This window comes from Homo sapiens, chromosome 12, assembly GCF_000001405.40.
Source record: "Homo sapiens chromosome 12, GRCh38.p14 Primary Assembly".
In the NCBI taxonomy this organism is placed as follows: Eukaryota; Metazoa; Chordata; class Mammalia; order Primates; family Hominidae; genus Homo; species Homo sapiens.
In genome coordinates, this window is record NC_000012.12 from 123,584,550 (window position 1) to 123,602,098 (window position 17,549).

General features: G+C 43.9%; 1 protein-coding gene across 2 annotated transcripts; it reads left to right on the forward strand.

Moving 5' to 3' along the window:
• The first annotated feature begins 2 nt into the window (after positions 1–2).
• Positions 3–14,033, forward strand: TMED2 (transmembrane p24 trafficking protein 2). 2 transcript variants are annotated; one of them, NM_001321445.2, is made up of 5 exons: positions 3–267; positions 2,198–2,390; positions 3,062–3,082; positions 5,793–5,900; positions 12,056–14,033. In NM_001321445.2, the coding sequence occupies exons 1-5, from the start codon at positions 88–90 to the stop codon at positions 12,178–12,180; spliced, it is 627 nt and encodes a 208-aa protein (NP_001308374.1). In that variant the 5' UTR covers positions 3–87; the 3' UTR covers positions 12,181–14,033. The 2 variants fall into 2 exon arrangements, with proteins under 2 accessions (NP_001308374.1, NP_006806.1); NM_006815.4 differs by lacking the exon at positions 3,062–3,082.
• The last annotated feature ends 3,516 nt before the right edge of the window (positions 14,034–17,549 follow it).

The following is a 17,549-nucleotide window of genomic DNA, read 5'->3' on the forward strand; positions in this document are numbered from 1 at the left end:
CTGAGAAGGCAGCGGGGCGGCGGCGGCGGCGGCGGCGGCGGCTGTGGAGGCCGCAGTCCGGGTCCTGGCTTCGGCCTCAGCCCCACCATGGTGACGCTTGCTGAACTGCTGGTGCTTCTGGCCGCTCTCCTGGCCACGGTCTCGGGCTATTTCGTTAGCATCGACGCCCATGCTGAAGAGTGCTTCTTTGAGCGGGTCACCTCGGGCACCAAGATGGGCCTCATCTTCGAGGTGGCGGAGGGCGGCTTCCTGGACATCGACGTGGAGGTGCGGGCTAGCTGCCCGCAGCTGAGGCTTGGTCGCGTGGCCACTCGGGGATTGGTGGCACCTGGGACCGGCGCGGGGCCTGTGTGGGGAGTGGGCTTGGAAGTCGCTGTCCGAGTCCTGGAGAAGCCCAGGCCGCCACCCCCCGCCCCGCCCCGGCCACGGCGACCTCCTAACGGCCCCTTTTCCCGCGACTTGCCTGGGTTCCGGGATCCCTTGGGGGCTCCTTCGGCATGCTTGGTTGCTTTGGGTTTTCTCCTTGAACGACGGGTTCCTGTTGGAACCTCTCGCTGAGCTTTGTGAATCAGGCGCCGCGTGTCAGTCCGGGCCCCAAAGGCGCTTCTCAGTCACAGTTAGCTGGTGGCGGGTCTCTATCCAGTTAGCACCTGCCTTCTTTCGTGTTACGGATTAATGCTGGAACGTGGCACGGAAACTTTTCCAAAAAATTGATTAAAATCGATTGAGGATTAAAAACCTATTGAGTGCTAGGCATACTTTCGCGTTGTGTTTATTTTTCATAGAAGCAACCTTAAGGTTCTACTCTTTACGCCTCCAGCTACCTCGTTTAGTCTCTTCTGCCAAGGAGAGATGGGGAGTTGGGTCATGCGTTTTAGGAGTAAGCAGTGCAGTGAAGTATCAGGAGAAGACAGGAGTTTAAGAAACCAGCAGTCCCTAAATCTCCACTCATGTTTTGTAAACCAAAAGAATGATGTGTTGCTAGTTTTTATTTTAATTCACCTGCTAGCATGATTAATTGGGTCTAAGGAGTTTCCATTTGACAGTGTACTCAGTAGGGCTGGGCACAAGTTACACAATACAAGTGAAATCCAAAAATAAGGGGATAACGGAAGGGAGAGACTCTTACACTTAGCTAAGAATTTAGCGATCAACTATTACAGTCTCGAAGTTATGCAAGTGACATGCACTTTGAAAGAGCGACTGACTTGATCACAGCCTAACAGCTGATTTGTAGCAGACTGGGATGAGAGTTTGGGTCTTCTCATTTCCAGGCTAGTCCTTTCCCCTAAGCCTTCAGGCATCTCAGATAAAGCAGAATTCCTTCACTGTTTGGCAGTAATCTGGAAAACCTTGAAATGTGATAAAAATTCATCTTGTTTATATTTTAAAAAACCACAAACGTTTATTACCTCATGGTTTCTGTGGCCAGGAATTATGGAGAGGCTTAGCTGGGTGGTTCTGGCTTGGAGTATCTCATGAGGTTGCAATCAAGATGTCAACCAGGGATGCAGAAATTCTTTATTTTAAAGAGATTTCTTTTTTCTTGAGTTTTGCTATCAGTCACAGTTCCATGTTTGTTGGTGATATTAGGCCAGTTAGAGACCACATTTAAGGTGAGCTTTCTGTTTCTGAGGGGTTTAATAAGGATAAATAAGACATAAATGTCAGGACCTAAAGGTGTTTTAGAAAGCCATGAAGTCAACTCTTATTTTATAAAGTGGGAGAATTGCAGCCCAAAATGGTTATTATCACTTACCGAAGTGAAGCTAAGTGAAAGTTACATATTCTTGGTGAATTTCTTTTTTTTTTTTTTTTTTGGACCAAGTCTCGCTCTGTCGCCCAGGCTGGAGTGCAGTGGCACGATCTCGACTCACTGCAACCTCTGCCTCCCGGGTTCAAGCGATTTTCCTGCCTCAGCCTCCTGAGTAGCTGGGAATACAGGCGTGCGCCACCATGCCCGGCTAATTTCGTGTTTTTAGTAGAGACGGAGTTTTACCATGTTGGCCAGGCTGGTCTTGAACTCCTGACCTCAAGTGATCTGCCTGCCTTGGCCTCCCAAAGTGCTGTGATTACAGGCGTGAGCCACCATGCCCAGCCATATTCTTGGTGAATTTCTTACTGCCATTAGACATTACTTATAAAGTCTATGACTTAATCTTTTGTGACATTTTATGCATTTCTCTCTTGCCTCCAGATTACAGGACCAGATAACAAAGGAATTTACAAAGGAGACAGAGAATCCAGTGGGAAATACACATTTGCTGCTCACATGGATGGAACATACAAATTTTGTTTTAGTAACCGGATGTCCACCATGACTCCAAAAATAGTGATGTTCACCATTGATATTGGGGAGGCTCCAAAAGGACAAGATATGGAAACAGAAGGTGAGATGAACATTCAGAAGATTTACATCACATTCCAAGAGCTAATTTTAGTTCTATACATTTTTACCTGTCTGAGTGGAGTACTTATTTTTTTTAAATTTCTTAACCAAAACCTTTTTGTGAAATACGCTTTTTATTTTTTGCAAGTCTCCTAATTAATAAAAAAGTTTCTTGAGGCTAGTGTTTGTTTTTTTGTTGTTCTTTTTTCTTTTATTTATTTATTTTAAGATTGTGTCTCGCTCTTTCGCCCAGGCTGGAGTTCAGTAGCGTGATCTTGGCTTACTGCAATCTCCGCCTCCTGGGTTCAAGCGATTCTCCCAAGTAGCGTCAGGCGTATGCCACCATGCCCGGCTAATTTTTGTATTTTTGGTAGAGACGGGGTTTCACCATGTTGGCCAGGGTGGTCTCAAACTCCTGACTTCAGGTGATCCACCTGCCTCGGCCTTCTGAAGTGCTGGGATTTTTTTGTTCTTTACATTTGTCCCTTCTAACAGATTTTCTTAGTCATTTTGTGCTCTTGTGAGCATGTAGGTTCCATGTGTCTTCAGTTATTTTTTCTGTTTATTTGCTAATCCTGGCATATACTTTATTTGCTCATTTGTATACATGACTAGTTTAGCTAAACTTTTTGTTGGTTCTTTTTGTGTTAAGATATCTTAACTTTTCTTTAGGTGGTGGAGATACCTGGGATGGTATGTGGATTGCTTTTTGACAGCATCCTTTTTGCATCTTTTTGTTTGCTAATGTCTAATTTCTGCTTTCTTTTTTCTAACCTCAGTTTGTTGGCATGAGAGTGTTTTTTTCTCTTAAAAAACCCCTACAACTAATTGGATTGATATTTTTTTTGGTGGTTTTTTATTTCGTTGACAGGAGGTATAGGTTAGGTTATTTTAAACTAATAGCACTGAAAACACAGTTGACATTTTAGTAGTAACATCTTTGTTCTTTAAGATGAATGCTAAAGAGTGGAAATTCAATGATAAGGGGACAGAAGTCCCAATTAAACATAGCTCATAGCAAATGGTGCCTTTGACTTTGTAGAAAGTCATTTTGTAGACTTCTTAACCTGAAGCTTAGTTGGATATGAAATGCAGTTCTAGGAGCCATATGTTGATATGAAGACAAGAGTTCTTTTAGCCATATGTTGCAGTTAGAGTGTTCATTGCTCAGGTTACCAGTAATAAACCCTGATTGGTTCTTGGTGGTTCTGGATAAATTGCTTACCGGGAGCCAGCACATTTGGTGGTGTTTTTTTTTGTTTTTTTTTTCCCCACAGTGCATGCCAGAGTTTTTGAAGCTAGTCATTGTTTCACACATTTCATAGTATACTATTAGCGTGGTAACATTTCTCCCAGATATTCAGTATCAGTAGAGTGTTAACATCATAAAGAAGCTGAGTTGTTTGGTTGGATTTTGAAATCTATAGAATTTAGAGAGTCCTACTACTTAGTAATTCCTGCACTCATTTTTCAGGGCCACTTATAGGGTAGGACTTGACTAATTTTCAGGGAGAATGAGGAGTTCTGAAAGGCTTTTTTGGTTTATTTTCTGGAGTTTGATCCTACTTAAATAGTTTGAAAATGTTGGTTGATGAATGTGAATATTGAACTTCTTAGATAATTTTTTAACATATATCCAAAATTCTTGCTTTTGCTTGTTAATGTCAGTGAATGGCAGCTGTCAAATCAAGCCTTCCTCTAAAGCAGTGGTTCTCAAGTGAGGATGCCCAGGGGATATTTGGCAATATCTGGAGGTATTTTTTATTCGGAAGACTGGGGGTAGGTGCTACAGGCATCTAGGACTGGAGGCCATGGAGGCTGCTAAATACCCTATAGTGCATCAGATAGCGCCCCACAGCATAGAAAAGCATTTGGTCCAAAATGGAGACAATGCCACTGCTGAGAAACCCTGCTCTATCAGTTCCATGTGGTGCATGGGGCTTCCAAAGGGAAATTTCGAGTGAGGGACGGTTTGACATTCCAATTCAACTGCCTTCAATGGTAGAGGCCCTTGGTTTCTCCTAAGAAACTTGGGGTTGTCTGCGAGAATCTGGAATCCCAGAAGAGACCCAGTCTTGGGCAGGGATGAAGAGATCCCCCTTTCCCAGGAAGGTTTCCTGGTGCTGTTTCTCTCCTGCCTGTCTGTTCATTCTCATAACGTGGCACTACCTAGAAGCACATGCTTACTCTTCAGAACAGTGCCTTGTGTGTATTTTTGGTTCAAGAGGGATGCCTGGTTGAAAACTTGTGCCGCTAAGGGCTTGTCTCTCTACTTACATTGCCTGCTGTTCCCCACTATAGTGAAACTATTACTTTGTCAAAGAAGAATGTTTGAGTTGGTGTGGATTTTCCTAAGAGCGTTTTAATGTTTTTCTCTGCTCAGCTTTATAGAGATTAAGAGTCTGTTTTGGTGCTGCTCCTGCTTCTTAATTAATATTAGAGTTACATGACTCTTAGACTTTATTTGTAGGATTACATTTTAAAAATACAGGTATTTATTTTGTGCTCTTAGTCCCCTCTCCTCAGTGTTTTACTACTTTTGCTGTAGTTAATAGTCAGTATAGTGAACTTCACATAACAACATTCCATTAGAAGAAATTTCCTGGGGTTGTTTTCCTTTCCTTAGTAAGCATTATATAGTATGTTTCCTACCCTGAAAGAGGTTTCTCTACTGGGAAGGGACTTTTAAAAATGCTTTGAGAATTAAATTGACATGATTCATATCAGTAGTCCAAATTGATGTTTGAACCATTTCAAAAGTAGCTTCTTTTGCAGGCCTTCTCTGAGGATTTTGAAAAGTTATTTTATATTATTTTATATTTTATATTTATTTTATAAGTGTTTTTCAAAAAGAGATTGCCCCAGCCTAGGCAACATAGCGAGACCCCGTCTCTAAAAAATAAAAATAAAATGGTAGTCAGGCATAGTGACGCACCCCTCAGGAGGCTGAGGCAGGGGATTGCTTGAGCCCAGGAATTTTAGGTTACAGTGAGCTATAATTGCACCACTGTACTTGAGCCTGGGTGATAGAGTGAGATCCTGTCTTGAAAAAAAAAAAAGATGGCTGGGTGCAGTGGCTCACGCATGTAATTCCAGCATTTTGGGAGGCTCAAGCAGGTGGATCACCTGAGGTCAGGAGTTCAAGACCAGCCTGACCAACATGGTGAAACCCCGTCTCTACTAAAAATACAAAAATTAGCTGGGTGTGGCAGCGTGTGCCTGTAATCCCAGCTACTCTGGAGGCTGAGGCAGGAGAATCGCTTCAGCCTGGGAGGCAGAGGTTGCAGTGAGCTGAGATTGAGCACCACTGCACTCCAGCCTGGGCAACAGAGCGAGACTCTGTCTCAAAAAAAAAAAAAAAAAGACATTGACAAATGTGTTTTGTTTTCAAATCCTTCTATAGCTCACCAGAACAAGCTAGAAGAAATGATCAATGAGCTAGCAGTGGCGATGACAGCTGTAAAGCACGAACAGGAATACATGGAAGTCCGGGAGAGAATACACAGAGCCAGTAAGTGAATGCCGTCACTTTGCAGCAGTGTCTGATGGTGAAGGTTGTTTTACTCAACAGCTTGCTCGTATTTTCCTCATTTGGAAACTTTGCAAATTTTATGTGAAAGCATTGACTTTAAAAGTGTACCTACACGAGATATTTTTTGAGCATACACATGTGTGGAGCTTTGTAGTTTATTATTGGGACATTCATTGTAAACTAGAAAATGCTATTAAGATTTAGTACAAGTTTTTAAGAGTTTAGTTTTCTGGCCGGGCATGGTGGCTCACGCCTGTAATCCCAGCACTTTGGGAGGCTGAGGCAGGCGGATCACCTGAGGTTGGGAGTTCGAGACCAGCCTGGCCAACATGGTGAAACCTCGTCTCTACAAAAAATAAAAAAATTAGCTGGGTGTGGTGGCGTGCACCTATAGTCCCAGCTACTCGGGAGGCTGAGGCATGAGAATCACTTGAACCGGGAGGCAGAGGTTGCAGTGAGCTGAGATTGGGCCACTGCACTCCAGCCTGGGCAATGGAGCTAGACTCTGTCTCAGGGAAAAAAAAAAAAAAAAGTTTGGGTTTTTAAAAATGTATGGTGAGCTAAGGAATAAGCTAATTGTTTTCTTAAATCAGAAGGGAAAAATGTTGTAAAATGCGTATTGCATTGGTTTTTAATCACATACCTGAAACTTATGTACCAGTGGGATTAATATTAGATGCTGAGATTTAACCTTTTTACTAAAATGGAAAGCTTAATATAGTTAGACTAGAAAACACCAAAACATGAGTACAGGGAAGTCACCAGGTGAAGATCAGTTTGGGTCCTCAAGTTTGTAAGTTGGGAATTTGGAATGTATTTTGCTGTGGAAACAGTGATGATTGAAATCTTGTGTTAGGTTGCAAAAGTCTGTTTAGAACTGGATAGAGCATTAAAAATGAAGCTTTTGCATTTAAAATTAAGAGGTACTATATTGACAGACAGACCAATTCCATTGATTAGGTTCAGGGCCACACCATTGTTCAGTGTTTTCATCCTCCAGGTAGTTCTTGGGGAGATGAAAAGAGCAAGGTGGCTGGGGGCAGTGGCTCACGCCTGTAATCCTAGCACTTTGGGAGGCTGAGGTGGGCGGATCACAAGGTCAAGAGACTGAGACCATCCTGGCCAACATGGTGAAATCCCACCTCTACTAAAACTACAAAAATTAGCCGGGCATGGTGGCACGCGCCTGTAGTCCCAGCTACTCAGGAGGCTGAGGCAGGAGAATCACTTGAACCCCGGAGGCGGAGGTTGCAGTGAGCTGATATCATGCCATTGCACTCCGGCCTGGCGACAGAGCGAGACTCTGTCTGAAAAAAAAAAAGGAAAAAGAGCAAGGTATAGTGACGCATCTCTGTAGTCCCAGCTACTCAGGAGGCTGAGGCGGGGGATTGCTTGGGAGCAAGCTCTTGTCTTAAGGGCAGTGATTTTATGTCAGGAATCTTTGTTCTGAGACTGGAGTAGGAAGTGAAGAGTGACTCAAAGAGATAAGCACAGCTTGAATTTCTTCCAGATGTGCTTTCTGTTTTTCCTACCCTTAAATCTGTTCTTGCTACTTATGGAAACAAATCTTCAGGATCTAGAGCACAGACATCAGCTTGTGTTGGCAGGAAGGTGTGTAAATGTAATAGCCTGGAGAACTCCCCTCATCCCCACTTGTTTTAGGAGTGGAGTGGGGCATATTATGGACCAAGGCTTGTCTACAATTACTCCAGCCTCTTGCCTCACAATTTTGTCTCCTTGCCTCCACTCTTAATCTCACCAGCTGGGATCTTCACTTTTTCTCTCTTATCTTGTTGGGACTCATATGTTGTTTACCTTGTTCCCAGATGGGGAAACAGCCCATTCTGGAGTTGGAAGGGCACTGAACTAACTCAGAGGGCAAGTTCCTCTACTTTGCAATTTTAACTGGTTCAGACCAGATGGCTTTCAAGTTATAGAAGTTCTTGGGAACACAGTGGCCAGAGGAAGCACATGTCTTCCGTCTTTAGGGTGTCCAACCTTGTTCTCTCACCCATGATTTGAGTGGAGATACTCCTGTATTTGTTTCACAAATAGTGAGCTATGTGTTCATATTTAAAAGTGTTAGCAATTTCTAGAATTGAGTTTATAGGCATTCAGTTTAAATTTACAAAGCAAATGGTTCCCATAATGTTTTGTTTTTGTGAGTCTTCCTATAGGACCCACTCCTCAGCAGTGAACATAATGAGATCCTTTCACTACAGTGTTGTAATAATAATGTGTTGCTTCTAGATCAGGCTGATATATGAGTGGCATGAGGACAGTGTCCCAGGTCACTACATTCTGATGTTACTGTGCTTCAATGTGTTCTATTTAAACTTAAAGGTGCATTTTTCTTTGGGAGGCCGAGGCAGGTGGATCACCTGAGGTCAGGAGTTTGAGACCAGCCTGGCCAACATGGTGAAACCCCGTCTCTACTAAAAATGCAAAAATTAGGCCGAGCACAGTGGCTCATGCCTGTAATCTCAGCACTTTGGGAGGCTGAGGCAGGCGAATAACGAGGTCAGTAGTTCGAGACCAGCCTGGCCAAGAGAACAGCCTGGCCAATATGGTGAAACCCCATCTCTACTAAAAATACAAAAATTAGCCAGGCACATGTAATCCCAGCTGCTTGGGAGGCTGAGATCACTTGAACCCAGGAGTTGCCTAGGCTGGTCTTGAACTCGTGGGCTTGAGTGATCCACCTGCCTCTGCCTTTCAAAGTGCTGGGATTACAGGCCTGAGCCACTGTGTCTGGCCTATTTTCTTTTTACAGACTCTCTGGTTTTTGTTGTTTTTTTTTTAGACGGAGTCTTGCTCTGTTGCCCAGGCTGGAGTGCAGTGGTGCTATCTCAGCCCACTGCAATCTCCACCTCCTGGGTTCAAGCGATTCTCCTGCCTCAGCCTCCTGAGTAGCTGGGACTACAGGCGCACGCCACCACCAAATTTTGACGTTGTAAATAATTGCATTTTGGATAACTGTGATTTTGAAATAATTCCTTAATTTTTTGTAGAAGTCAGTTTTCTGATTCAGCAAAATGGATAGTAATATAGGACGTTTCAATGGTGAGGGAGAAAGATGGTTGGATTGGGTGTTAACCCTAGAATTATGACCTTGGGCAAGTCACCTTTTCTTCTCTGCTCCCCGTATACAAGCGGAATGGACTTGGCTGTACCCAGTGAATCTTTAAGCCCAGCTAATTTTTGTATTTTTAGTAGACGGGGTTTCACCACGTTGGCCAGGATGGTTTCTATCTCTTCACCTTGTGATCCACCCGCCTTGGCCTCCCAAAGTGCTGGGATTACAGGCGTGAGCCACCACGCCAAGCCCTATTTTCTTTTTAGAGACACAGGGTCTTACTCTGTTGCCCAGCCTGTAGTGCTGTGCTGACAATACAGCTCACTGCAGCCTCAACCTCCTGGGCTCAAGTGATCCTCCCGCCTCAACCTCCCAAGTAGCTGGAACTACAGGCATGTGCCACTACACCTGGCTAATTTTTTTTTTTTTTTTTTGGTATTGTAGAGACTGGGTTTCTCCATATTGCCCAGGGTTGGCCTCTGACTCCTGAGCAAAAGCAGTCCTCCTGTCTCAGCCTCCCAAAGTCCTGGGATTATAGTGTAATTGTTTTTAATGTTGGCTATTTGCAGAAAAATAAAACACTACATAGAATTTTTTTTTTTTTTTGAGATGGAGTCTCGCTCTGTTGCCCAGGCAGGAGTGCAGTGGTGCAAACTCGGCTCACTGCAAGCTCCGCCTCCCAGGTTCACGCCATTCTCCTGCCTCAGCCTCTCGAGTAGTTGGGACTACAGGTGCCTGCCACCACGCCTGGGTAATTTTTTTTATTTTTAGTAGAGACGGGGTTTCACTGTGTTAGCCAGGATGGTCTCGATCTCCTGACCTCGTGATCCACCCGCCTCGACCTCACAAAGTGCTGGGATTACAGGCATGAGCCACTGTGCCCAGCCTACATAGTAATTAAAAGCTAAGGCTATAGAATTTGACTGGAGAGTTGGACACAATGGCTTGTGCCTGTAGTCTTAGCTGCTTCTGAGCCTGAGGCAGGAGGATTGTTTGAGGTCAGGAGCTTGAGACCAACCTGGGCAACACGAGACCGTTTTTAAAAAAATAAAATAAATTGGCCAGGCGTGATGGCTCATGCCTATAATCCCAGCACTTTGGGAGGCCGAGGTGGGTGGATCACCTGAGGTCGGGAGTTCGAGACCAGCCTGACTAACATGGAGAAACCGCATCTCTACTAAAAATACAAAATTAGTCAGGTATGGTGGTACATGTCTGTAAGCTCAGCTACTTGGGAGGCTGAGGCAGGAGAATCGCTTGAACCCAGGAGGTGGAGGTTGCAGTGAGCTGAGATCGCGTCATTGCACTCCAGCCTGGGCAACAAGAGTGAAACTCTGTCTCAAAACATAAAAAATAAAATAATAATAATAATAAAATACATTTAAAAATAAAAAGAATTTGGCCAGGCGTGGTGGCTCATGCCTATAATCCCAGCACTTTGGGAGGCCGAGGCAGGCAGATCACCTGAGGTTAAGAGTTCAAGACCAGCCTGACCAACATGGTGAAGCCCTATCTCTACTAAAAATACAAAAATTAGCCAGGCATGGGGGTGTGCACGTGTAATCCCAGCTACTCAGGAGTCTGAGACAGGAGAATCACTTGAACCCAGGAGGCAGAGGTTGCAGTGAGCTGAGATTGCGCCACTGCCCTCCAGCCTGGGTGACAGTGAGACTCTGACTCAAAAAAAAGTAAGTAAATAAAAAGAATTTGATCAGAAACTTGAATGTAACAAATAGAGTATAGTAAATATAGAGTAGGTGTGGATTTTACTTTAAGGATCAAATCCTTAGTTTGAGAGCAGGACAGATGAGCATAGTTTGTCTTGTATTTGATGGTCTGGTAGTAACTGTCAGTATGGATCCATATAACTGAGTAACCTCTTCCATTGAGAACAATTGACAAGTACACAGGTGCTCAACAAATATTTGTAACATATTTGGGGAAAAAGACACTCAGACTGCCATATTTTGATGTTGTAAATAATTGCATTTTGGATAACTGTGATTTTGAAATAATTCCTTAATTTTTTTAGAAGTCAGTTTTCTGATTCAGCAAATTGGATACTAATACAGGACGTTTCAATGGTGAGGGAGAAAGATGGTTGTATTGGGTTTTAACCCTAGAATTATGACCTTGGGCAAGTCACATTTTCTTCTCTGCTCCCCATATACAAGCAGAATGGACTTGGCTGTACCCAGTGAATCTTTAAGGTTTCTTTTAAAAATCTTTGCTTCTACTTTGGGAGGCTGAGGCAGGAGGATCAGTTGAGGCCAGGAGTTCAAGACCAACTTGGGCAACATAGCAAGACCCTTTCTCTACAAAAACAGAAAAAATTAGTCAAATGGGCTGGTGCATACCTGTACTCCCAGCTACTCAGGAGGCTGAGGTGGCAGGATTGCTTGAGTACAGTTCAAGGTTGCAGTGAACTATGATTGTGTCATGGCATTCCAGCCTGGGCAACAGAGCAAACAAAAAAGTCTTTGCTTTGGAGTATGTTGAGTTGCTTGGAGACAAAAGTATTTAGAGTATAGGTGACCCATAGGTTACAATGACTTCACTTAGAAATTTTCAGCTTTATGATGGTGCAAAAGTGATGTGCATTCAGAAGAAACTGAGCATCAAGTACCCATGCAACCATTCTGTTTTTTACTTTCAGTGCAGTGTTCACTAACTTGATAAATAAAATAGAAAATAATAATAAAATGCAGTTTAACGTGTATGAGATACACAACACTTTATTATAAAATAATCTTTGTGTTGTTAGATGCTTTTGCTCAACTGTAGGCTAATGTAAGTGTTCTGATCGTGTTTTACGTAGGCTAGGCTAAGCTATGATGTTTGCTAGGTTAGGTGTATTAAATATATTTTTGACTTATGTATTTTCAACATAAGCTGGGTTTATTGGGATGTAACCCCATCGTAAGTTGAGGAACATCTATTCTATGAGTGGTGTACACAATATTACTTTCACACAGAGTGAAGACTAAAATATTTATGATGCCTATGTCTTTTTGGGGGAGAATTGTTAAATTTTGTTTGTTTGTTTTGTCCTCAACAGTCAACGACAACACAAACAGCAGAGTGGTCCTTTGGTCCTTCTTTGAAGCTCTTGTTCTAGTTGCCATGACATTGGGACAGATCTACTACCTGAAGAGATTTTTTGAAGTCCGGAGAGTTGTTTAAAAAGCCTCTTCCTGATGATCCCAACTCAGAATTCACTGTTTACCAAACACCTTGGTCATAATAATGTCATTAGTTTCTCCATTTTTATTTTCTGAACTGTACATTCACAACTTATGTTTCTTTGAGATTAATAGATATTGGGGGAAAAACGCCTTTTTAGGAAAATTATAGTGAAAATTTGACAGTTGATTGGCATAATTTCTTGTTTGAATGCTGCCTCCATTATATAGGTCCTTCCAGGAACTCAAACACTGTAAGTGAAATATGGGAGTATAGTTTTTATTATTTCTTCTTTTCCTTTTGTTTTCATAATATAATGCAGTTTGTTCAGGAAATCAGCACAAAGCCTGATAGTACTTTACTAAAATGACTGCATTCTTTGGATTCCTTCAGTCTATGGTTCAAGTCACTAAAGATTCATTTTTGTTGAGTCCTTATGAGAAACAGCAGTATGAATCTTGACGGTTTCTGCCCGTCCTAATGGCAGAGCTCTCTGACTTGGGTGTATGCTGCCAGGCTGGGTACTTTCATACTTTGTTTTCTTGTTTTGCTTTAAAACTACGACTCAGCATACATTTTCCCACATACATTTTTACATTGTACCTTAGGACTCAGTCATCTCCACTTAAATTGATGACACAAGCAGCTAATAACCATTTCTGGGTTTCTGCCTAACCCCCTAATTGTCTGTTAAAGCCAATTCTCTGGGTGTCCCAGTGAGTGGTGGCTTTTTTTCTTTCCACATTGGCACATTCACTTCTCCCACTCTTGGCATGTAAGAAATAAGCATTTACATAATTGGAAAAATCTGGATTTCTGATGCCAAAGGGTTAAAGCTTCTTGGATTTCATTTCATTGATATACAGCCACTATTTTATTTTTGATCAGTGGCCTTTGGGCCACTGTTCAGGGTACTGACCATCAGTGTCAGCATTAGGGTTTTGGTTTTTGTTTCTTTTGGGTCTTTCTTTTTTGGCACATGTGAATCTTGTTTTGTGTAAAATGAAATTACTTTCTCTTGTTCTCTGATGATGGGTTTAAAATTAAAAGAGCATCCGGTTTTGGTATGGGGATGATCCAGGATTATGTTGTGACTGATACATATTAGTTACTTGTGCTTTTTTTTTTTTTTTTGGATCTTTGCAAGGGCAAAACTACAAGTAACGAGTTTTATATAATTAATTTAAATTTGTTACAGGTTTTCATGTTCAGGATAAACCATACTTCCACCTTGGGTGAGAACACTTGCAACAGTTTATTAATGAGGTGACTTTCACCTTAGGACAACTGTTGCATGCCAAGTTTTTTGTGTGTGTGAAACACTTCAAAACTGATTTAAAAGATGTAAATTTAAAATTGGTTGTATCTAATATGCCCCAGGTTCGGTAAATAAACAATTCTTTTTAAAAACAGTATTCTGTGTTTTATATATTGACAGCTAATCCACATTTTTTACACACCAACTTTCTGTTCTTATTTGACATGAGACATGTTCATGTTTTCTGAGTATTTATACCTATTACGTCTGTTACTTTTTAATTCTATAAACTTGAGGATAGTGAATGGTACCAAGTTTTAGTTTCTGCGTAGGTTTTCCAGTGTGGCTTCTCTGATGGATCAGTGCTAAAATCTTAAGTATTTTTCTATTTGGGAAAAAAGGGTTGAATTATTTTCACTTGCCCACGTAGTTTATGAATGTGGGAAATAGCTTCAAAGACAGATTAAATGATTTGCCCAAGGCCACAGAAAAGAGTGAAAGGTGGAACCGGAGACTAGATCACCACCTGTAGAAACTGTTCTTCCTCTGTGAAACTAACGGCCTGCTGGTAATAAAAGTAGCTACCATTTCTTGAGTACTGTGTAATGTCTCGATCTAGTACTAAGCACTTTACTTGGTCTGTCTTATTCATGCTTCAAAACTGCCATTACCTTGGGTAAAACCATTTTGGAAGTGAGGAGGAAAACAGGCTTGGAAAGGGTCTTAAGGTCAGAAAACTAGTAGGTAGTAGAGCCCAGAAGACACACACAGATATGTAATTTCCCTGTGCCTTTGCTTTCAGAACTGTCTGTGAAGTCTCCCACCTTTTCTTTTTTTGGAGACAGGATCTCACTCTGTTCCCAGGTTGGCTTGATCTCTGCTCACTGAAGCCTCAACCTCCCGGGCTCAAGTGATCCTACCACCTCAGCTCTCCAAGTAGCTGGGACTACATTTTTTGTTTTTTAAAGACAGGGTCTTGCTTTGTTACCTGGACTGGAGTGCAGTGGCACAAACATGGCTCACTGGAGCCTTAACCTCTCAAGTGATCCTCTCATCTCAGCCTCCCGAGTAGCTGGGACCACAGGCATGCACCACCACGCCTAGCTAATTAAAAAATTATTTTTGTAGAGGCAGAGTCTCCTGTATGTTGCCCAGGCTGGCCTCATTCTCCTGGGCTCAAGTGATCCTCCTGCCTCAGCCTCCCAAAGTGTTGGGATTGCAGACATGAGCCACCGTGCCTAGCCGAAGTCCCATTTTATAAAAGTTGTCAAAGGTGTTTTGAGAATGTGATGATCATTTCACTGAAAATGTGGCTTCAGGCTGTTGTCTTTTACTTAATTTGAGATGACTGCAGTCTGCATGAGTTGTATTCCCATTTATCAATCCCACAAATATTTGAGTGATTGCTGTGTGCTACAGTGATAGTCCTTGGGATAAAGAAGATAGAGAAAAGACCCTATTAGTGTGGGTTTTACATTTTGGTGGCAGAGATGAACCTAATAAGTTTTGTGTGTGTGTGTGTGTGTTTGTGTGTGTGTGGCGAGAAAGAGATAATGGTAAATGCTAAGAAGGGAACATAAATCAAGGTAGGAGTTTCAGTGATACAGAAAGGAAGGTAACAGAAGTTGATTTCAAAAGTCCAAGTGGAATGTAAGGGAGTGTAAGGGAAAACTTCCCCTTTGCTCTCAGGTTTCTCTAAAAATTCAACTGAAAATAGGCAGATTAATAGGAGGAAAGTGATACAAATTTATTCGGTCATGCTTTTACATGACAAAGGAACCTTCAGAATTAAGACCCAAAGTTACAGGGAAAACTATTTTTATGCTTAGGCTCAACAAAATATGCACAGCTGAGTAGAAATAGGACTGGACAAGAAGGGCATGATCTAATGCTCATAGACTGAGTGGGGAAGCCCAGCGAGGCCTGTCTGGATTCTTTCCTTCTGGATAGGGGAAAGAACCCTTCCTGGAATGGGGTCTTACAACCTACCAGCAAAACAAAGGAGGTCAGATACATTTTTTTTTTTTTTGGAGACAGTCTCTCTCTGTCACCCAGGGTGGAGTGCGGTGGCGCGATCTTGGCTCACTGCAGCCTCCGCCTCCCGGGTTCAAGCAATTCTCCTGCCTCAGCCTCCCAAGTAGCTGGGAATACAGGCGCACGCTGCCACATCTGGCTAATTTTTTTTTGTATTTTTAGTAGAGACGGGATTTCACCGTCTGGTCTCGAACTCCTGAGCTCAGGCAATCTGCCCGCCTTGGCCTCCAAAAGTGCTAGGATTACAGGTGTGAGCCACCACGTCTGGCCTTTTTTTGTTTGTTTGTTTGTTTGTTTGTTTGTTTTTTGAGACTGAGTCTCACTCTGTCGCCCAGGCTGGAATGCAATGGTGCGATCTAGGATTACTGCAGCCTCCACTTCTCAGGTTCAAGCGATGCTTGTAGCTCAGCCTCCGGAGTAGCTGCAGGCACCTGCCACCACACCTGGCTAATTTTTTGTATTTTTAGTAGACAGGGTTTCACTACGTTGGCCAGGCTGGTCTCAAACTCCTTACCTTAGGTGATCCGCCTGCCTCAGCCTCCCAAAGTGCTGGGATTACAGGCATGAGCCACCGCACCTAGCCCAGATAATTTCTTTTTCTTTTTTTTTTTGAGACTGAGTCTCGCTTTGTCACCCACGCTGGAGTGCAGTGGCGCAACCTCCACCTCCCTGGTTCAAGCGATTCTTCTGCCTCAGGCTCCTGAGTAGCTGGGACTACAGGCATGCGCCACCACGCCTGGCTAATTTCTGTATTTTTAGTAGAGACGGGGTTTCACCATATTGGCCAGGCTGGTCTCGAACTCCTGACCTTGAGATCTGCCCGCTTTGGCCTCCCAAAGTGGTGAGATTACAGGCGTGAGCCACCGTGCCAGGCCAATAATTTCTTTATGGCCAGTTTTTTCACAGAAAGGTGGAGAGAGAGTAATATTTTTAGGTTTTATGGCTGACTGTGGAGAAAAGGGATTCCTGTTTCTATGCTCCGTCATGGGCAAGAGGGATTCTTGAGTTTCTATGGCTAGCCTCAGAGAATCAGAGATCAGAGAGGGAGCAGAAGGTCAGAGAGAAACTTGCTTCTGAGGCTGCCTCTGGGGCCTTCATTTTGGGGTTTCGTTTTCAGAGCCTCAACAGGAGCAAGCCATGCACATAGGTGGAGGAGATAGGCCCTCATAGAGGGCACATAATGAGTGGTCAATAAAAGTTTGCTGAGTGAAGGCCGGGCGCGGTGGCTCACGCCTGTAATCCCAGCACTTTGGGAGGCCGAGGCGGGCGGATCACGAGGTCAGGAAATCGAGACCATCCTGGCTAACACGGTGAAACCCCGTCTCTACTAAAAATACAAAAAATTAGCCGGGCGTGGTGGAGGGCGCCTGCAGTCCCAGGTACTCGGGAGGCTGAGGCAGGAGAAGGGCGTGAACCCGGGAGGCGGAGCTTGCAGTGAACCGTTATAGCGCCCAGCCTCCAGCCTGGGCAACAGAGCGAGACTCCGTCTCAAACAACAACAACAACAACAACAACAACAAAAACAGCTTTCTGAGTGAAGTTGTATGTGGACATGAATGGCCCAGGCAAACAGTGAACAGAGGAATGGGACAGTGTTCTTAGTTAGGACTCTGACCCTAACTTCCGGGAAAGTAAACCAACATTCAGGACGTACCGGCCATCGGACCGCAACATTCAGGACGTACCGGCCATCAGCGGGTGCCTGTTTTGCAGGGCTGCTAACCCGGGTCCCCGACACGTTTCTCTGCCCACGGTAGCCAGCCCCGCTGTCCTTCGGCCTGGACGCGGTCCTGTGCTGCCACCTGCCTCCGAGGGGCAGAGAAAGTGGGAGGGCCGGGCCAGAATCCCTCCCGCCAAAACTCCTGCCCGGTGCGGAGAGGCGCCCGGAGCCCAGGGCGCTGTGCGGAGCGGGTGTAACTCCCCAGGCCTGCCCCGCCGCCTGCCTCCACCGTCCCGCGGACGCCTTTCCTCCCTCCCGCGGCGTGGGAGCCTTCGCCGCGCTCCGGAACTCTGCTGCTCCAGCGAAGTTCCCGGCCGGCCGCTGGAGCTGCGGGAAGCGGAAGTGCTCGTTGGGGGT

What these genes read in the sequence shown, in the direction of transcription:
- TMED2 (NM_001321445.2), top strand. Translation starts at nt 88, where the DNA reads ATGGTGACGCTTGCTGAACTGCTGGTGCTTCTGGCCGCTCTCCTGGCC. An exon ending in TCCTGGACATCGACGTGGAG is followed by an intron (nt 268 to 2,197) that starts GTGCGGGCTAGC and finishes TCTTGCCTCCAG; the next exon opens with ATTACAGGACCAGATAACAA. An exon ending in GGAGAGAATACACAGAGCCA is followed by an intron (nt 5,901 to 12,055) that starts GTAAGTGAATGC and finishes TGTCCTCAACAG; the next exon opens with TCAACGACAACACAAACAGC.